The following is a 23,104-nucleotide window of genomic DNA, read 5'->3' as shown; positions in this document are numbered from 1 at the left end:
TTTCTACTTTGGTTTCAACTTCTTAATACTAAGTAGAAATCCCTTTTTCTGATACCACAGGCAAGATGACCACCTAAGAAACAGCCTGGACAAGTGTGAGTGCCAGAGTAGCAGCACACGTCTGCGACATTCTCACAGCACACACTGTGAGAATGGCACCTGCGCAGATACTAATCTCAAGCCATCCGCAGCGTGTCCCTGGTAAAAAGAAAAGAAAACCATAAGAGTTCTAAAAGAAAATGAGAAAAGAATATTTGCCCAATTGCCTTGGTGTTTGGTTTGAAATGAATAAATAGTTTTGATGAAATTTCATCATTAGAATGTAAGCTCCATGAGGGTAAGAAACTTAATCTGTCATGCTTACTACACGATCACCAGCAACTAGAATGTTTTTGTTTAATGTTCACTCAGAGTTAGTGACCATTTAACATATGAGAGCTATGCACTAGATACATAAAAGTTTATTCATTCATTCATTCTTCCATTTAGCATATATTTATTTAGAACCTACCAAGTCTACATGGACGACTGACTGAATGAATGTAAGAATTAATGAAGTTTTCTCGATATCAGAATTTAGTAGGTTTTGTATTTCAATTTACTGATACTTTGAACTAGTTAGGCTCAAAGTCTGACAGACCGTAGGATTATTTTTTAATGCTCCTTCAGAATTAATGATTACTTCGAATATGAAAGGTATGCATTGAAGTTGAACAAGTGCAAATTATAACATTCTAAAAAATACAGCTAGTAATTGTATTGCAGAGGTCACAATCAACAAGATCTAGGCCAGATGTACCTGAATCTATATCTAAATATTTTATATCTACGTAAACTTAAATTGTGGAAAGCTGTGATCTTAAAATATTGAACTTGGAAATTCTTATAAAAGATCAATGATTAGTGTAAAACATTAGTGTAGTGTAAAACCACTGTCATTACCTAAACTCTTGGGACACTGAACTTATGACTTTTTAACTGTGGGATTTTTCACTCTTCAGTTAGTTCTAGAGCTCATTATAAGGAAATATGTACACATAAGCTTAGAGGAAAATTTTTTTGAAAAACTACTATTGTCTTTCCTTCAGTCTTCTTACTGAGGAAAAAAGTGGTTGTCACAGATCTTACATTTATGTAGAGTATATTTAGTGAGTTACAACTTGGATTGTGTCCTGTGATGTGAATGCTGTGTTTTGATATCAATGGTTTCTACTGCAATCACAGAATTATTTTGCATTAATCTCTTTAAATAGAAATTATAACCTTTGGGTATGACATTTTGTTTAACAAAGATAAAAGCATTACAAAAACTAGTAATGGGTGCTTATTTAATATGTAAGTAATTTTAACTTAAAATATAGTCTATACTGGTGTTCTAAATTGATTCACATTTGTCATTATTCTTCAAACCTGCCCATCTTTATCTAAAATGTTTCAACAGATGTTTTGATTACCACATTAAAATAAAATAAAGTGAGTTTGATATGCATGAACCTTTGCAACCTTACAGAGTTACAGATTTAAAACATGATCCTGGGAACTAACTTTGTTTTGACTCTGAATTTTTTGTATGTATTTGTGCCCCCACCCTACTCCCATCTTTATGTGTATGTTAAAACACATTTGATCAGTTAAATTTGATCATGAAAGATGATTTGGCATCCATGTATGGCTGAGAAACCCACATATTAATATTAAAAAGGCTACTAAGCAAAAGAGCCCTGATTAAGCTTCTTTTAACCTAGCTACTTAAATAGCTAATCTCTACTTTTTATATCTGTTACATTTTATGCCAATCAAAAAGCCTTCCAAATCATAATTTTTAACAGTTTGAAAATGTTTGTTCCTGGCTTTTTAAAATTAGCATTGACTCCAGTACCTCTGATACTAGAAAACTAGTACCATCCAACATGTGCAAGATAAACATTTTAATGATATATGGTTTTCTGACCAATTTCTTTCTTCTTTTCTTCCTTCCTCTTCTCCTCTCCGCGCCTTGCATCTCACCTCTTCCCACCTCTCCTTCCTCCATCCCTTCTTTCCTTTCTACTTCTTTCTTTCTTTCCTTTTCTTCTTTCTTTTCCTTTTCCTTCTTATTTTTCACTTTCCCTTCCTTCTCTTCCCCTACCCTCATCTCTTCTCTCTGTAATGTCCTCATTATGTAAGCAAATGATTAAACCGTGGAGACATTCAAATCACAGAAGTGATCAAACAGCCACAAGGATCTTGATTTCCTCCTTAGAGTTCTGGAGAATTGGCTTAATCTCTTGCAGAAAACTCTTTTCTGGGTTGGATCAGCCTTACATAATTGGGTGCAACTTGAGTTCTACTTCAAATAAGAGGACCCTCCGGGCCAGGCTGCTGTGCACTTGTCTCCTTAGAGATTTTCACAATGCCTCTATGATAGCCAATGGCCACAAGAAGTTCAATAATCCCTAGTTATGAATTGGAACTGGTTTATTAGATCTTAGTCAATGAACAACATGAAGGAGTGAGTTGTATCTTAGAGGTGGCACAAAGGATTCATTTTAATTAGCCCTCAAATGTAAAAGGTTGTGAACCACAGAAGATCCATCTGTGCATTGAAAACTGTTATGTGTATAAGACTTCTCAGAAAGAAAAAGAAGCATAGAGAGTGGTGAATTGCTTTCCAGGAGAGAAATCTTGCATCTTTTTGGAATAAACACGTTTTGAGTATCTAACACCTATTTCTTCTGGGCACAGACGTTATTTCTAAACTGAATGTGTTTTTTGTTTGAGTAAATAAAGCATAGAATTTCACAGAATTATTTTCCAACTACAGAATTTCACAGAATTTTCCAGAAACTGGTATGTATTTCTTCCATAAGCTCAAGACCTTTCCTTTCAAATTATGCATCTGTGTGGATGATTTGTTGTGTGCAAGGAACCTCACAAGGGAAGAAGTGAAAGCAAAAAGCTAAGTGGTATACAACCTGATGGTTCTTACCTGTAAGGATCTTACATAAACAGATAAATTGGCTACCCAAACAATCATGGTGGAAGCTGTAGTCTGGCAATGAGCTCTTCTAGGACCCTCTAGAAGTGACCCAACCATTATACGTTTTGTTATTCCATATAAAAGAAGGAACAACATTGTTCTCTGCCCTCCTCCCCCAGGGGGACTGGGGATAAAGTTGGTAAAGTTTATAAAAGTTCTTGCTATTATTATTCGTCTTAATTTACTTGAACTTACTTGATCTATACTCTGCTAATGTATTGTCAGTGCTCAACACGCACACAAACATGCACACACACACACACACAAACACACACCCTTTGTGGAAGAATATATGCCACACCTCCCAGCTGATCAGCTTATAGGAGGAACATTAGCATGCTTGATAGAATGTCTTCCGTATGTGCAAAATGAATTTATGTTTTGTCCCATTTTGTTATGCAGGCTCCCTAATGCTTTTTAAACATGATGTAATCATAAGAACATGTGTATACATGTACTTCTGCATAGAGCACTAAAAATAAATTGACTTGCTGGCAAAAGTTAGAGAAAATCCTTTTCTAGCTTCTCTGTACCACTCAATAAATTATTACAGTCTGTGCACAAAACACAAATTACATGCTTTATTAGTATGTTCTGTGGTAACCTCAAAACCACAAGTGTTTACATGCGCTGCACACATGCACTTTGGGGCTTTTTAATAGCGGGTTGACAAGAGATTAAAGGCAGAAATATGGCATTTTATTAAAGCAAACATATCAGCATGCCTACCATGATAAAATGATCTAGTTTTCTTCAGACACGAAAGTTTCTGTTGAGTGATACCTTTGCAATTCCTTGAGGGCACCCTATTATTCACTTTCCTCAACAGAGAGCAGCTGCAAATGGCCTCCAATTTTCAAAGAGTGTTGCCTGGTCATTCTTTACTGTCAAAATGAAGAAGAGCATAAAAGTTAAGTCAATAAAGTAATATGAAATGCTTAATATAAAAATTCAAGAATGAATGATTAACCATTAAAAACTTGCAGTAGCTATTTCATCCAGGAAAAAAAATTAACATTTCCCCTGAAACCTATTAACACTCCTTGTAAACAATATTCTTTTTTGAAATATATGACCTTTCTTAATGCTCTCCACACACACAGCATTTTTCTTATATCCACTTCACCTCACTGATATGAAGTTGAATTCCCCAGAAGAGAGTGCTTCGAGCCCCTTCCTCAGAATCATATGGTCTTCTCTTGTATATTCCAAATGGATGCATTCATTTGTGTTAGATGATGCAACAACCTGTTGTTGTTAATACAACTTCAAAATTACAGACTTTGCCAGTGGACAATCAACAGGCCAAAGATAATGCCTACCTTGGGGCCCACGCTTCCTTATCAATCTATAAAATCTGATACATTGATAATTATGGAAATTGGTATACAAACCTGTTCTCGGTTACACCCATCTTTCATCTATGTCTCTACTGTATCTATGGATGTTGTGTAGAGGGCCATGTGCAGAGAAAAGCAGACTTAAAAGATTTTTTTTATATTTTTGAGGAAGCTATTTGAAAGAGCAGGGTTGAATTTAGTCTAGGACTTCTTTTCAAAGTTAAGTCAGAAAAAAAGCAAGAATATTCAGGACCTATCCTATAGCAAATCCCTCCATACCATGATGTTGCTAAGGAAAATAACTCCTTGGGCATAAGACTTACCAAGAATGATTTTGATGAAAAATGATATAGTTGGGGTCAACAAGACCGCTCTTTGAGGCTGCCGAATGTTTTCCACACCGCAGTTTTAGAGCTATTGGAGAAGCCTCCATCGTGTCATCCTCAGAAAGCCATCACCAGGGCTGTGTCCTGTTGGTTAACTTAGGAATGAGTGGGTATGACTTGTTTCTGGAAAAAATCTCACATTGTATGAATTTTAAGTATTCCTGTAAATTTATTTGTTTTAACGGATACTGTGAACTGTCATTTCTCATGTTTTATTCCAGGAATTGGACAGAAAATTTATTTGTTTTAACATATACTGTGAACTGTCATTTCTCAGATGTTTTATTCCAGAAATTGGACAAAGATGTTCAAACTGCTCCTAGTAGGGAGACAGGAAACATACTGACTGGTGGCCTTATTGGGTTATCAAGAATTTGTCTAGCAACTTAGAAGCATTCTGCTCTTGAGGAAAACCTCAAAGAAAAAGGATGCATGGAAAAGAAACAACTAAAGAATATACAGCAAGTTCTGGACAATAATACTCAAATGCTTTAGGTAGGTGCAGATAAAATGTGAAATGTCCCCTATATAGTCTTTGTTTGTTTGTTTTATGTTGACATTTTTTAAATGAAACAGTAGATTCCCCTCAAAAAACCCACAACTTACCTGCTCTCTCCTCACATGGATGAGCCTGGCCTTTCCATTCCTGCCCTATAGGACTAATTCTACAACTATCTCTGGGTAAAGGCTGGGAGGTGGGGAGGATCAATGTGGGGAGGGTCCCTTTGTATCCTCTTCTATCAGCCATTTCAATGCAATTTTAAAAAGATAAATTTTATATAATTAGCTATTTTTCATGCATTTGACTTATTAAAACACTTCTGAACAAGATATATGATTTCTGGTAGGTTTTAGTTACATTTACATGTGTTTATGTTGTGTGTGCATGTGTGTGTGTGTGTGTGTGTGTGTGTATTTTTGGTGTTACTGGCATAAGTTGTGCTATGCAATCTAGGAGATTGAAACTAATTATAGCAGTGAGGCTAACAAAGTGTGAAAAGTGTGAAAGCCATGAATCTGAATGAAACTTTCCACTTCTGTCTATGAGTTTTTATAAAAACTCTGATGATATTTTCACCCAAAATATGTGTTTTTCTTATTTTAAATTGTTAGCAAGCTAAATAAATCATCCTGATTATTTTTATATTACATGGTTAATTTATACATTTTTGCAAATGACATCAATTCCTTTCTTCTTGTGTCTCTTCTTGTCCTTTTTGCTTCCCTCTACAAACACTCAATGCATATTATATGTTTTTATATACACACATATGGACCATGGTTCTAGGTGTTAAACACACAGAGGCAAATTAAACTTCAATCCTGACCTCAGTGAAATTACAATTCAATTTGTAAGCATCATGATAAGGATAAGTAAAAGATTATGTGAAGTAATTCCCAAGATTGTTTATGGTTTTATGCTACACAGCACAATAAGTGACTAACATATGTTATCTCATTCAAACCTTTGGAATTGAGAAAGATATGAGAAATCTGAAAAAGAGATCAGGAACAAACAGACATAGAAGAAGAACTAGGAAGCTACAGTGTCACGCAACCCAGAGGTAAATTGTAAGTAATGCCAAGTGTCATGGAAAATCAAGGATCAGGCTGGGTGTAGTGGCTCACACCAGAAATCCCAGCACTTTGGAAGGCCAAGGTGGGTGAATCACTTGAGCTCAGGAGTTTGAGACCAGCTGGCCAACATGATAAAACCCCATCTCTACTAAAAATACAAAAATTAGCCGGGCATGGTGGCACACGCCTGTAGTTCCAGCTACTCGAGAGGCTGAGGCAGGAGAATTGCTTGAGCCTGGGAGGCGGAGGGGTTGCAGTGAGCTGAGATCATGCCATTGCACTCCAGCCTGGCCAAGAGAGCTAGATTCCGTCTCAAAAAAAAAAAAAAAAAATCAAGGATCAATATGGTATATAAGCAATGATTTGGAGAACGATGCCATCATTAATATTTAAGAAAGTAATGGAATGGAATTATTTAATTAGTCAAGGTGAATGCAGATATTTATCTTTGTTCACTTATGAAATTTTATTAAAATGACAGTAAAGGGAAAAGGAAAACATTACAAAATTAAATTAAAGGAAAAAGGAAAACATCACAAAATTAAAAAGTATTTAAGAAAAAAATGGTAGCAGATGAAAGATTTCAAGACTACTCAGGAAAATGGAAAGTGATAGCTATATGATAGCAAGCTTAGGTATCAGCCTCTCCACTCTATTCAGGGCCAAACAGGAAGCAAGTTAATTTTCACCAAGCAATTCCAGAATATCTCAAAAATTAGAGGCAGTGGGTACATATAGAGGCAAAGACACAGGATGAATGAGAAAAGGGGAATTGATAATACCCCATGATCTCACTCATATGGGGAATCTAATGAGTTGTTCATAGAAGTAGAGAGTAGAATGGTTATTACCAGAGGCTGGGGAGGGGATGAGGGATGTGGCATGGGGAGAGGTTGGTGAACAAGTATAAAGTTACAGTTAGCTAAGAGGAATAACGTCTGCTGTTCTATTACACAGGAGGGTGACTGTAATTAACAAAAATGTATTGTATATTTCAAAATAGCTAGAAGAGAGGATTTTTAATGTTCTCACCACAAAGAAATGACAAGTGGTAGAGATGATGGATATCCTTATGCAATAATAATGTGATCCTTATGCAATGTCTACATGTATCAAAACATCACACCGTACCCAAAAAGTACGTACAATCATGTATCAACTAAACACAAAATAAAACTTAAAAAAAAACTGTACACTCCAAATGCTCTCTCCTATCTGATAAGGAACAACATTTCTGCCACCCTACAGGAGACGGGATATTTACTATGGAAATACTTTGAACCAGAGAAGCTCTGGGCTCACAGACATCAGACACAGTTGAACATAAGAGTGAAGCACCACTGCAGTGAGCCGAGATCACACCACTGCATTCCAGCCTGGGCGACAAAGCGAGACTCCGACTCAAAAAAAAAAAAAAAAAAAAAGAGTGAAGCACCAGAAAGAGAGAGAGTGAAATCTCTTTCTTATAAGAATCCCCCCACCTCCTCCTACATACTCATCCTCTGGCATACCCCGATCCCTAACAGCCAGACAGACTACATTTAAACTGTCTTCCTTACCATCTCCCCCTGCTCTCACAGATGAGAGATTAGAGGGTTTACCCCTGGGAAAATTTCCCAGTCTAGGAGAAAATACCTACATCAACTGGCATTTGGAAGCCTCCAACCAAAAGGTTGAGTTTCTACATGGTCAACAAATCACACCCACTTACTTGCCCAGGACTTTCTTTTAGTGTATCACTGCATCATTTTGGAATATGAACGGAGATCCAGAATAATGCAACATGTTTTAAAGTCTCCAACATGAAAGACAAAGATCAAAGGAGATAGAAAAGGAACTCAGAGAAAATGAGACCATTAAGAGAGGAAGTGAAAGCTAAAAAAACAAATGAGCAAATGCAAAAGAACAACAAAACAACCCTGGAATTGATAACCTCGAAAAATAAGTGAGAAAGTAAGAGAAGATTCATGAAACCAGGAAGAATACTATTAAATAAAAGGAATATTCAGAAAACAATTACTCTCAGAAATTACCAACTAGTACAAAATAAATCAAAAATGCTACTTAAGGACTGGAAGATACAATAGAAGAAAACACAAAAGATAAAACAAAAATATATGAAAATGAAAAAAATGGATAAAAAAGAATCAATTTAGGAGCTACAGAGAGAACAACAAACTCAGAAGGAAGAAATCCCTTAAAGAAATAACAGAAACATCTCAAAATTAAAAATAACCCAAAGCATTTCTTACCACATTGAAGGGCCCAAGAAACATTCAACTCATTGAATGAAAGGACTCCACCAAAATGTGTCATTTAAAATACATACTTCAGGCTGGGTGTAGTGGCTCATGCCTGCAATCCCAGCACTTTGGAAGGCTGAGGTTGGCAGATTGCTTGAATTCAGGAGTTTGGGACTAGCCTGGGTAACATAGCAAAACTCTGTCTCTACAAAAATAAAAATACAAAAATCAGCCAGGCATGATGGTATGGGCCTATGGTCCCAGGTATGTGGGAGGCTGAGGTAGGAAGAGGGCTTGAGCCTGGGAGGTCGAAGCTGCAGTGAACTATGATTGTCCCACTGCACTCCAGCCTGGGCAACAGAGCAAGATCCTGTCTCAAATAATAGTAATAATAACACATACATACATACATACATACATACATACATACATACATACATACATACTTCAGCTGCCAAGCATGGTGGCTCACGCCTGTAATCTCAGCATTTTGGGAGGCCAAAGCTGGAGGATCGTTCAAGTCCAGGAGTTCAAGCCCAGCCTGGGCAATATAGGGAGACCCCATCTCTACAAAAAAATTTAAAAATTAGCCAGGTGTGGTAGCATGTGCCTGTAGTTTCAGCTACTCGGGAGGCTGAGGTGTGAGGATCACCTGAACCCAGGAGGTTGAGACTACAGCCTGGGTGACAGAGTGAGACCCTGTCTCAAAAGAAAAGAAAAGAAAAGAAAAGAAAACACTATACTTCTCAGCCATAAAAAAGAATGAGACCATGTCTTATGCAGCAACATGGATGGCACTGGAAGCCATTATCCTAACTGAAATCACTCAAAAATAGAAAGTCAAACACTGCACGTCCTCACTTATACATGGGAGCTAAATAATGGGCCCACATGAACATACAGAGGGGAATAGTAGATGCTGACTCCGAAACATGGGAGAGCAGGATGAAGGTTGAAAAATGACCCACTGGGTACAATGCTCACTATTTAGGAGATGGGTGTACTAAAAGCCCAGACCTCACCACTATGCAATATATGCATGCAAGAAATCCTCAGCAGTACCCACTAAATATATTTTTTAAAAATTTCAAGGCCTAGACTCCCAGAGAAAAGGAAGATCTTGAAAGCTTACAGGTGAATATCTTAGTATTAAAGTTTACCGTATCAATAAGGATGCTATAGTGCTGTCAAAGAATCTGAAGATAAATCAGTAATAAATACGCAGGGAATATAAGAAAACAACACAAATTAAGACAATTATTAACCTCCGAAGAATATAAGAAAGGGAATGTAATTGTAGTACTCTGCATTACTTAACTATGAACAATATGCATCTAGTTGTTATACTGTAAACAGGGACTAGTGATTTAATACAAAAATTGTAATTGAAATAGGGCAGGCAGGTGAAAAAAGATGAGGGGGGTTAGAGAGTTCCTTAGGAAAGATTCTTCTGTTGTAAGAAACCAATAAACAACATATAAAATAAAGTCCAGAAATAAGAATGCATGCACGTTATTTTGCAAAACAGATTTTCATGTCAGAGAAAATGTCCAAAAGAATTTCTGAGTAGTAAGTTAGAGAGGGGTAAGACCAACAACTGCTATTTTTATTTTCAAGCCTTATAGTTGTCAGTGCTTTTAAATGTATTTATATGTATTAGTTAGCTAAAAATTTTAAAATGAATACATTCAATGAGGTTAATCTAAATGCATTACTATCGTACTATGTTGAAAACACATTGTTATATTAAGCGGGCTGCAGAAAAATACATTTAGTACTAACCCAATTATGTTGTTAATATATTTAAATATTTACTTCTAGCTATAATTTTGTTGAAAACGACTTAAAAGACCACATCAAACTGGATGGCAACTCCATGGGAGGAACTTTGATTTAACTCAAAATAGGTTTTATTCCCTGAAATTTTTATATTTACAGTGTCTTCAGATATTACAGGCATAATTTTTAAATATTTGGACACTAAACAATATTCAGTCCATATGAAATTACATATATATGCATGGGAAAATAAATAAATTCACAATCACTGAAAGGTTGAGATGATATCTTAGGATAAAAGGCTTGCATTTCATTTTTACTCAATTATTTACACTTTTCTCTGTTGTTTGGATTTTTGGACAAGATAAAGCAAGTATGCATTAGCATAAGCAACCATGACATTAATATAAAGCTGCAACATGAAAATATATATGCACTAAAAACAACTCCCGTAAAGAAGGATAAAAAAAAAAGGGTTGTAATTAAGACGGTATGATTACAAGGGTGAATTTTTTTACTTGTCCAAATTTTGCATATGTGCTATTTACACGAAGAAAAAATGGCTGATAATATTAAATAAACAAGGAAGGAAAATGGTGAATGTGGAGAGAAAATGGAAGTGGGGGGCAGGTGGGAGAACTCCTGTTTATTAATCATTTACTATACGCTGAGCACTGTGCTGTGTGTCTTGGTGGCAGGGACAGCAGCAGCCAAAAGGTTTTCCCCACTGCCCTAGCACAGTATCAGATGTCCAATTAACATTCTTTTTTTTTTCTTTTCAAAAAACTATTTTTATTTTCTATATGAAGTATATTTAAAACTGGAGAACATGAGGACACAGATCATATTTTCCATAAGTCATGTCTTTCTTTGCTCCCAGCACTCTGTCCAGTGGGTCACCTTAGTGGCACAAACCATAGAGAATGGTGCAGAGAGTTCTCTGGGACAAAGTAAGGGCCAGAAGTGATGTGTCATAGATGAAAAAGCAGATTACTAATGAAACTGAAGAAAAACAACATATGGCATGGAATTAACCCACAACTAGCAGTAGGACTTAAAGATGAGAAATATTAGAATTTTTTTCAATGACAATATTATAATAAAGGAATAAAAGCATTGCTATCTAAGACACTGCTTACATCTGGATTTACATTTAGCTATTTTCTTTTTCTAGACAATCTATTATTATTTAAAAAGAGAAATGAAAATAAGAAATTTGATCACAATTAAATGGGATTCAAGGAATCTTTTGCAACACATCATTTCTTATTAACCTGAGTTTTAGTGAAGGACCAAATGTAGTTTGGTGCTGTAAAAACAAAATCCTTTTTTTTTGAGACAGAGTCTCGCTCTGTCGCCCAGGCTGGAGTGCAGTGGCACGATCTCGGCTCACTGCAAGCTCGGCTTTCCGGGTTCACGCCATTCTCCTGCCTCAGCCTCCCGCTTAGCTGGGATTACAGGCACCCGCCACAGCACCCAGCTAATTTTTTGTATTTTTATTAGAGACGGGGTTTCACCATGGTCTCGATCTCCTGACCTCGTGATCCGCCCTCCTCGGCCTCCCAAAGTGCTGGGATTACAGGGGTGAGCCACCGCGCCCAGCCCCACCAATTAACATTCTTAATAAATGGTTGAATCTAGGAATGAATGAATGGATAATCAGTTAGTTATGCAATATTCCTGAAGTTGGCAATGAAAAAAAAGAAAAAGATATAGTGTCCATGATAGTCATGAGCAGGGGCAATATTAAGTAATAGAATTTCATTTGGTTTTCACAGTGATGGAAATTGAATATGCTTAAGGAGAGTAGCGGATCTGAAGATGGTTGTGATGCGATTGTGAATGATGTCCTGAAAGGACTTAAAAGGTAAGATGGTAAGATTCAGAGCAAAAGAGCCATTAGCTTCAGCTGACTCTGCTGAGAATAGAGGTGTACAGCTGTTCCCCAAAATAAGCACAGTTACATGGGAAGGTGATTTGAGAGTGTACTTTGCCTTGTCTCCAACTTCACATGAGCAGCCATAAGCTTGTACTTGGGGAGGGGGGTAACAAAAGTGTAAAATGAAAGCTTTTAAAAGATCCCTTAAATACTAATGCTAAAGTTTTTTTGAAATATCTCTAAAACTCAGTTGCCAAAACGTCCTTAGAAATAGTTCACACGGGGGGGAGGAGCCAAGATGGCCGAATAGGAACAGCTCCGGTCTACAGCGTGAGCGACGCAGAAGACGGGTGATTTCTGCATTTCCATCTGAGGTACCGGGTTCATCTCACTAGGGAGTGCCAGACAGTGGGCGCAGGTCAGTGGGTGCGCGCACCGTGCGCGACCCGAAGCAGGGCGAGGCATTGCCTCACTTGGGAAGCGCAAGGGGTCAGGGAGTTCCCTTTCTGAGTCAAAGAAAGGGGTGACAGACGGCACCTGGAAAATCGGGTCACTCCCACCCGAATACTGCGCTTTTCCGACCGGCTTAAAAAACAGCGCACCACGAGATTATATCCGGCACCTGGCTCGCAGGGTCCTACGCCCACGGAGTCTCCCTGATTGCTAGCACAGCAGTCTGAGATCAAACTGCAAGGCGGCAGCGAGGCTGGGGGAGGGGCGCCCGCCATTGCCCAGGCTTGCTTAGGTAAACAAAGCAGCCGGGAAGCGCGAACTGGGTGGAGCCCACCACAGCTCAAGGAGGCCTGCCTGCCTCTGTAGGCTCCACCTCTGGGGGCAGGGCACAGACAAACAAAAAGACAGCAGTAACCTCTGCAGACTTAAATGTCCCTGTCTGAGAGCTTTGAAGAGAGCAGTGGTTCTCCCAGCACGCAGCTGGAGATCTGAGAATGGGCAGACTGCCTCCTCAAGTGGGTCCCTGACCCCTGACCCCCGAGCAGCCTAACTGGGAGGCACCCCCCAGAAGGGGCACACTGACACCTCACACGGCAGGGTATTCCAACTGACCTGCAGCTGAGGGTCCTGTCTGTTAGAAGGAAAACTAACAAACAGAAAGGACATCCACACCAAAAACCCATCTGTACATCACCATCATCAAAGACCAAAAGTAGATAAAACCACAAAGATGGGGAAAAAAGAGAACAGAAAAACGGGAAACTCTAAAACGCAGAGCACCTCTCCTCCTCCAAAGGAACGCAGTTCCTCACCAGCAACAGAACAAAGCTGGATGGAGAATGACTTTGACGAGCTGAGAGAAGAAGGCTTCAGACGATCAAATTACTCTGAGCTACGGGAGGACATTCAAACCAAAGGCAAAGAAGTTGAAAACTTTGAAAAAAATTTAGAAGAATGTATAACTAGAATAACCAATACAGAGAAGTGCTTAAAGGAGCTGATGGAGCTGAAAACCAAGGCTCGAGAACTACGTGAAGAATGCAGAAGCCTCAGGAGCCGATGCGATCAACTGGAAGAAAGGGTATCAGTGATGGAAGATGAAATGAATGAAATGAAGCGAGAAGGGAAGTTTAGAGAAAAAAGAATAAAAAGAAATGAGCAAAGCCTCCAAGAAATATGGGACTATGTGAAAAGACCAAATCTCCGTCTGATTGGTGTACCTGAAAGTGATGGGGAGAATGGAACCAAGTTGGAAAACACTCTGCAGGATATTATCCAGGAGAACTTCCCCAATCTAGCAAGGCAGGCCAACGTTCAGATTCAGGAAATACAGAGAACGCCACAAAGATACTCCTCGAGAAGAGCAACTCCAAGACACATAATTGTCAGATTCACCAAAGTTGAAATGAAGGAAAAAATGTTAAGGGCAGCCAGAGAGAAAGGTCGGGTTACCCTCAAAGGGAAGCCTATCAGACTATCAGCGGATCTCTCAGCAGAAACCCTGCAAGCCAGAAGAGAGTGGGGGCCAATATTCAACATTCTTAAAGAAAAGAATTTTCAACCCAGAATTTCATATCCAGCCAAACTAAGCTTCATAAGTGAAGGAGAAATAAAATACTTTACAGACAAGCAAATGCTGAGCGATTTTGTCACCACCAGGCCTGCCCTAAAAGAGCTCCTGAAGGAAGCGCTAAACATGGAAAGGAACAACCGGTACCAGCTGCTGCAAAATCATGCCAAAATGTAAAGACCATCGAGACTAGGAAGAAACTGCATCAACTAACGAGCAAAATAACGAGCTAACATCATAATGACAGGATCAAATTCACACATAACAATATTAACTTTAAATGTAAATGGACTAAATGCTCCAATTAAAAGACACAGACTGGCAAATTGGATAAAGAGTCAAGGCCCATCAGTGTGCTGTATTCAGGAAACCCATCTCACGTGCAGAGACACACATAGGCTCAAAATAAAAGGATGGAGGAAGATCTACCAAGCCATGGAAAACAAAAAAAGGCAGGGGTTGCAATCCTAGCCTCTGATAAAACAGACTTTAAACCAACAAAGATCAAAAGAGACAAAGAAGGCCATTACATAATGGTAAAGGGATCAATTAAACAAGAAGAGCTAACTATCCTAAATATATATGCACCCAATACAGGAGCACCCAGATTCATAAAGCAAGTCCTGAGTGACCTACAAAGAGACTTAGACTCCCACACATTAATAATGGGAGACTTTAACACCCCACTGTCAACATTAGACAGATCAACGAGACAGAAAGTCAACAAGGATACCCAGGAATTGAACTCAGCTCTGCACCAAGCGGACCTAATAGACATCTACAGAAGTCTCCACGCCAAATCAACAGAATATACATTTTTTTCAGCACCACACCACACCTATTCCAAAATTGACCACATACTTGGAAGTAAAGCTCTCCTCAGCAAATGTAAAAGAACAGAGATTATAACAAACTATCTCTCAGACCACAGTGCAATCAAACTGGAACTCAGAATTAAGAATCTCACTCAAAACCGCTCAACTACATGGAAACTGAACAACCTGCTCCTGAATGACTACTGGATACATGACGAAATGAAGGCAGAAATAAAGATGTTCTTTGAAACCAACGAGAACAAAGACACAACATACCAGAATCTCTGGGATGCATTCAAAGCAGTGTGTAGAGGGAAATTTATAGCACTAAATGCCCACAAGAGAAAGCAGGAAAGATCCAAAATTGACACCCTAACATCACAATTAAAAGAACTAGAAAAGCAAGAGCAAACACATTCAAAAGCTAGCAGAAGGCAAGAAATAACTAAAATCAGAGCAGAACTGAAGGAAATAGAGACACAAAAAACCCTTCAAAAAATTAATGAATCCAGGAGCTGGTTTTTTGAAAGGATCAACAAAATTGATAGACCGCTAGCAAGACTAATAAAGAAAAAGAGAAGAATCAAATAGACACAATAAAAAATGATAAAGGGGATATCACCACCGATCCCACAGAAATACAAACTACCATCAGAGAATACTACAAACACCTCTATGCAAATAAACTAGAAAATCTAGAAGAAATGGATAAATTCCTCGACACATACACTCTCCCAAGACTAAACCAGGAAGAAGTTGAATCTCTGAATAGACCAATAACAGGAGCTGAAATTGTGGCAATAATCAATAGTTTACCAACCAAAAAGAGTCCAGGACCAGATGGATTCACAGCCGAATTCTACCAGAGGTACAAGGAGGAACTGGTACCATTCCTTCTGAAACTATTCCAATCAATAGAAAAAGAGGGAATCCTCCCTAACTCATTTTATGAGGCTAGCATCATTCTAATACCAAAGCCGGGCAGAGACACAACCAAAAAAGAGAATTTTAGACCAATATCCTTGATGAACATTGATGCAAAAATCCTCAATAAAATACTGGCAAAATGAATCCAGCAGCACATCAAAAAGCTTATCCACCATGATCAAGTGGGCTTCATCCCTGGGATGCAAGGCTGGTTCAATATACGCAAATCAATAAATGTAATCCAGCATATAAACAGAGCCAAAGACAAAAACCACATGATTATCTCAATAGATGCAGAAAAGGCCTTTGACAAAATTCAACAACCCTTCATGCTAAAAACTCTCAATAAATTAGGTATTGATGGGACGTATTTCAAAATAATAAGAGCTATCTATGACAAACCCACAGCCAATATCATACTAAATGGGCAAAAACTGGAAGCATTCCCTTTGAAAACTGGCACAAGACAGGGATGCCCTCTCTCACCACTCCTATTCAACATAGTGTTGGAAGTTCTGGCCAGGGCAATTAGGCAGGAGAAGGAAATAAAGGGTATTCAATTAGGAAAAGAGGAAGTCAAATTGTCCCTGTTCGCAGACGACATGACTGTATATCTAGAAAACCCCATTGTCTCAGCCCAAAATCTCCTTAAGCTGATAAGCAACTTCAGCAAAGTCTCAGGATACAAAATCAACGTGCAAAAATCACAAGCATTCTTATACACCAACAACAAACAGAGAGCCAAATCATGAGTGAACTCCCATTCACAATTGCTTCAAAGAGAATAAAATACCTAGGAATCCAACTTACAAGGGATGTGAAGGACCTCTTCAAGGAGAACTACAAACCACTGCTCAAGGAAATAAAAGAGGATACAAACAAATGGAAGAACATTCCATGCTCATGGGTAGGAAGAATCAATATCATGAAAATGGCCATACTGCCCAAGGTAATTTACAGATTCAATGCCATCCCCATAAAGCTACCAATGACTTTCTTCACAGAATTGGAAAAAACTACTTTAAAGTTCATATGGAACCAAAAAAAGAGCCCGCATCGCCAAGGCAATCCTAAGCCAAAAGAACGAAGCTGGAGGCATCACACTACCTGACTTCAAACTATACTACAAGGCTACAGTAACCAAAACAGCATGGTACTGGTACCAAAACAGAGATATAGATCAATGGAACAGAACAGAGCCCTCAGAAATAACGCCGCATATCTACAACTATCTGATCTTTGACAAACCTGAGAAAAACAAGCAATGGGGAAAGGATTCCCTATTTAATAAATGGTGCTGGGAAAACTGGCTAGCCATATGTAGAAAGCTGAAACTGGATCCCTTTCTTACACCTTATACAAAAATCAATTCAAGATGGATTAAAGACTTAAACGTTAGACCTAAAACCATAAAACCCTAGAAGAAAACCTAGGCATTACCATTCGGGATATAGGCATGGGCAAGGACTTCATGTCCAAAACACCAAAAGCAATGGCAACAAAAGACAAAATTGACAAATGGGATCTAAGTAAACTAAAGAGCTTCTGCACAGCAAAAGAAACTACCATCAGTGTGAACAGGCAACCTACAAAATGGGAGAAAATTTTCGCAACCTACTCATCTGACAAAGGGCTAATATCCAGAATCTACAATGAACTCAAACAAATTTACAAGAAAAAAACAAACAACCCCATCAAAAAGTGGGCGAAGGACATGAACAGACACTTCTCAAAAGAAGACATTTATGCAGCCAAAAAACACATGAAAAAATGCTCATCATCACTGGCCATCAGAGAAATGCAAATCAAAACCACAATGAGATACCATCTCACACCAGTTAGAATGGCAATCATTAAAAAGTCAGGGAACAACAGGTGCTGGAGAGGATGTGGAGAAATAGGAACACTTTTACACTGTTGGTGGGACTGTAAACTAGTTCAACCGTTGTGGAAGTCAGTGTGGTGACTCCTCAGGGATCTAGAACTAGAAATACCATTTGACCCAGCCATCCCATTACTGGGTATATACCCAAAGGACTATAAATCATGCTGCTATAAAGACACATGCACATGTATGTTTATTGCGGCATTATTCACAATAGCAAAGACTTGGAACCAACCCAAATGTCCAACAATGATAGACTGGATTAAGAAAATGTGGCACATATACACCATGGAATACTATGCAGCCATAAAAAATGATGAGTTCATGTCCTTTGTAGGGACATGGATGAAATTGGAAATCATCATTCTCAGTAAACTATCGCAAGAACAAAAAACCAAACACCGCATATTCTCGCTCATAGGTGGGAATTGAACAATGAGATCACATGGACACAGGAAGGGGAATATCACACTCTGGGGACTGTTGTGGGGTGGGGGGAGGGGGGAGGGATAGCACTGGGAGATATACCTAATGCTAGATGACAAGTTAGTGGGTGCAGCGTACCAGCATGGCACATGTATACATATGTAACTAACCTGCACAATGTGCACATGTACCCTAAAACTTAAAGTATAATAAAAAAATAAATAAAAAAAAAAAAAAAAAAAAAGAAATAGTTCACACGAAGGACTTGTAGAGTCTTGAAGTTTATAGGGGTATGTTTGCCTCTAAGTCCAAGTGCAAACATCAAAAACTGTGGCAATGAGCTTTCACTAGTATGTTTGATAACTGTAGGAATTTCTACTTTAAAAGAACATACTAGATTGTCTCAAATTATTTATATTTGTTCATAATTCTAGAGATATTTTATTGCAAAAAAATCAGAAGGTGAAGGATCATGAAATTCAAATCATAAGCTTTTCTTCTTTTATTTAAATTATTGATAAATTGGATATTCACTTTGAGTTGAGCTTAAACTTTTTAGAACTTCTATATTCTCATCTATAAAATCAGGATTAGAAAAAGTCTAGAGCCTCATGAACTATTAGCTTTTACATGATAACCACGACTATCAATAGACATTGTCCAGGGAATTCTCTCAGTAATCCCCAAATATGACAAGAACATGTGTCCTATAACCCTTTCAACTCACAGATGAGAAAAGTGACCTATAAATGATTTAAGGTACATGATTTAGGTATAAATAGCTATGGGGAAAATGAGAGCACCTGTAATATCTTTCAGGGATTTAATATTGCAATTTAATGAAATAATTATGAATATGTATTTAAATGGAATATACATATTTTGAAGAGATCAGACCTCACTGTTTTGCCCAGGCTGGTCTTGAACTCCTGGGCTCAAGGGGTCCTCCTGCCTCAGCCCCCCAAAGTGCTAGGATTACAAGTATGAGTTACCGTGCCTGGCTTTAAATGGAATATTATTAAAGAAACATATCTGAGGCATGTTTTCTCTGGGCTTTGTGGTCTCTAAAGTACCTACACAGAATTGAGACATGAAGATCTGGCCATTGACTAATGTAATGAATCACTTTAAATAAATGGATGACATATTGGTAGAATTAAACTTTTTGATAAAACTCTTTATTTACTTAGTACGTTACATGCAGTATACATATTTTACTATAGTGCACATTATATATATATAAAATATGTAAGTAATATATAGTAAAAAATTATGTTATATATATAATGCACTCTATAGTAAAAAAGTATAATGTGCACTATAGTAATAAATATAAAATATATTTATATTGAATATATATATAAAATGTGCAATATAGTAAAACATGTATATTACACATAATGTACAAAGGATTTATTTCCTTTATATTCACAAAAGATTCTGGATATTTCATCATAAATATTTAGCTCCAAATTCCCTGAGAATTTTAATATTTAATAGAAATTTTATAGATATAAAATTTAATAGAAATTTTGTATCTTGAATTTTTATTTTAAATCATGTGGAATATATAAGGAGAAACTGGATTAATTAAAATGGCCCAAAGTAGGACATCACCTCTATGATCTGTAAACAAGGCAGAGAAAAGCAGGGAAGAATAAAGACTGTACCAACTGTCAAGATCGGAACGATAGCATGTAACAGAATCAGAAAATGATGTATTTATTTTAAAAACAGACTAAACATATATTTTAAGCATGATATCATGATGGAACTGACTAAAGCTAGGTCAGTGTCAAACACTGACATAATGGTTCCTGTCACAGGATATTTGACCTTAGAGAACATTTGAGCACTTACCAAGGATATGAACCCACCTTGAAAGTCCCATGGTGAGATGTGTGTGATTAACACTAGGACTTTGTAATTTAACTGGAAATGGATTTTAATCAGGTGGTAATATTATGGGTCACACTCAAATGCTCTCGTATAAGAAAGTTTAGAAAGATTTAGACTTTTTTCTCTATAGTAGGTACAGATCATAGATTCTATCTTGGACCAGCATGTCTCTTGGGTGCTTGGTAGACATTGCTGCTCTTCTGATAGATAGAGAAAATGAGGTTACAAAATTGCTCTACTATCACTTACTCTTAGATGGAACAGGTAAAAATCCTTGGGGAAATCATGTTAATGGGCTATAGGCTTTCCAGAATTTAGCTATATGCTTGGAAAAAGAGTTAGAATGCAAACTTTAGATTTGAGCAATACCCCCGTTTCATTTCTTATAATAGCACTGTGGTTTGGTGAGATATTTTTAAATTTGGAAAAGCAGAGCCGTAAAATATGCCTTTTTAAAGAAATGTATTCACTGAAAAGCAATTTATTTTCCTCGAAACATAACACATTTATGTATATGAGCATCATGAGAAGTTGATATTGGTACTCAATATAGACTTTTTGATAAAGGGAGGCTTTGAGATAGATAAAGTTTCTTCTTGCTGATCAAGACAAATTCTCATCTTGCAAGAGCATGAGGGCATGTTTAAATTCTATAAACAATACAATACAGAAAGAACAAAAAGAAATTTGTTGAGCAAGAGAGGTGAAATAAACAAACTAATAAAAATGAGGGAAACATGTAAACATTTACAACCTGTTTACAACTTCCTCTTAAAACTGCTTGTCCAAGCTCATTCATTACATTAACAGAAAAAGGACAGAGACCATGCTCTTGTCATCTGTCTAACGTGAAAATTCATTAGCATATCATTAGCATGTGGCAAAGTTTAAATTTTCCACTTATAAGCACATAGCTTGGGTGGGCTTTCAGCACACCAGCAATCTGTTCAGAAATTGTGTGAACATTGGTGTATTTAAATTCCTGAACTATTCTTTCCTGAAATATTCTTTACCAGTAAAGCTCATGAACATAGAACACCCATTCCCACTGACTGTGGAAGACAGTCGGCCTCCTTAAATCCTTCAGTTAAGGACATACAATGAAATGCCTCGTTAAGAACCTTAATTTAAAGCAGCACACAGTTCTGTATGTCAGAGGTAATAATTACCTTCTTTAATGAGCCTGACTTTTCTCTGTGATGAGTAAGACTCCCTCCACTTTGTTTATAGTAACTCTGGATTTATTTCAGGCTTTCTTCAAGTGCTCTTATTTTAAAAAAATAAAAATTTTGTCTGTTTTTCTGGGGTCAAATTCTGCCTACTCTATACTGAAACCATGTGCTGTTCAAGCACTGCTAAGACCAATTACCCATATATTCCTGGGACATGCAGGGGCCTATAGAAGTCATATCATCCATATCCCAGCTTCTAAGCAGAGCTACAGATAAATTATGTCAACCTGAAAAGGCCCTACCCTATGATTTTAAATAACTTCCATGTGAACTATAGCTATCCAAAATGTCCCAGCAAATTAAACAATAAAATTGAAAAGCTCTTGAACAAATTGATTTTATAGATATCTATTATAATCTTAAGAATTTAAGATCTATGTTTGCAGGCTGAGGAGGGCTTGAAGAGTTATACTCAAGTATATGAGAAGTTATGTGGTGACTTGCTTTAATTATAATATTGGGCATTTCTTGGTTTCCTCCAATATAGTTTGATCTTTCCCCTATCTTATCAGCTACCCATAACATGCTTCCCAAAATCGATATGCATTTCATATGAAATAATTGAGAACTGTTTCAGCTTTTAGATGTTGAAGAATTTAAATCACATAACATAGTCCCTTCAACTTACAGACAGGAAACAAATAAAGAAACACTAAATGGTTCCTCTAAGGTCATACAGTATTTATGTGAAAGAAGAAGAAGTTGAACTTAGCTAGTATTTGGTATATGAGTCTAAATCTTTCTAGTCTATTTAAGTCTGCCCTTTGTTTCTGGATAAAGAGAGCCAATTATACTTTCTAGTGTTTTGTGAGATATGTACTATTGCATAAGGTTCATTTCATAGAGATGTTTTATGATTTTACAATTTGAAACTACTAGCTAGGGTTATTAATTTCTTGTTAATCCTATCCTAGCACCCAGTCAGGCTGAGATTCACAAAGGTTTGGAGTTGGAAAAAAAAACCTTAGAGATCCCGTATAGAGACATTTTTTGAACTGTAAGGCAGTTTCACTAGTAGTCCTTAACTCAGGGACCACAGAAGAACCAAGCCATAGGCTTGCCTATGTCACATAGTGAGCCAGAGATGGTCTGGATTAGCACTAGTACCACCAATACCCAGTACGGTTCCTTTTTCACTCTAAAGAAGACTTCTTAGGACAAGAATCTTGACACTTTCTCAGTTTATATTTTTCAAGTGAAAATGGAATTGCAAAATTGGACCATAATTTGCATTAAAGTCACCCTAAGCCCTTAGCCCCTGTAGCTGGATGCAGGAGCAGCAGAACGTGTCAGCATGGATTTGTCTTCTTCTGTTTCTTTGGTGTCCTTCCTTACAGTCAACCACTGAAAAGTTTCTACATGGAGAGATAGTTTGTTCTTGAAGCCCCTTGAACTGGCACCATCCTTTCCAATATTTTCTCTGGTTCTTTCATGTAAGTGTTATATCAACTTTTGAAAGAGTGTTGGTCTGTTAATCATTTCTTCTACTACTAGAAAATTAAACAACATCTTTAAATCTCTTGGGTCTACAGTCTTTAGTTATTTTAACATTTAATACAGAAACTAGGACAATTCTACCCCTAAAACATCTTATTTTCAAATCTACTTGCTTCTGTTTCCAAAGTTCAAATAAAATATAGAGAAAAACCTAAATGGAAAGGTTCCTGTTTGTC

The 23,104-nt window shown here is 37.4% G+C and overlaps 1 long non-coding RNA gene across 1 annotated transcript in view; it reads right to left on the bottom strand.

Moving 5' to 3' along the window:
• Window positions 1–3,574: 3,574 nt before the first annotated feature.
• LOC100506207 (uncharacterized) overlaps window positions 3,575–23,104 on the bottom strand; it is a 349,823-nt gene continuing 330,293 nt past the window's right edge. Inside the window, exons 4-5 of the long non-coding RNA NR_038980.1 lie at window positions 4,683–4,829; window positions 3,575–3,903 (exon numbers count right to left, since the gene is read on the bottom strand). This is a non-coding gene — a long non-coding RNA (uncharacterized LOC100506207). The remainder of the gene's footprint in view (window positions 3,904–4,682; window positions 4,830–23,104) is intronic.

The sequence above is a fragment of the Homo sapiens genome, chromosome 6 (genome assembly GCF_000001405.40).
Source record: "Homo sapiens chromosome 6, GRCh38.p14 Primary Assembly".
NCBI lineage: Eukaryota > Metazoa > Chordata > Mammalia > Primates > Hominidae > Homo > Homo sapiens.
Note: the sequence above shows the minus strand (reverse complement) of the source record. Positions and strands in the feature narration are given on the sequence as shown.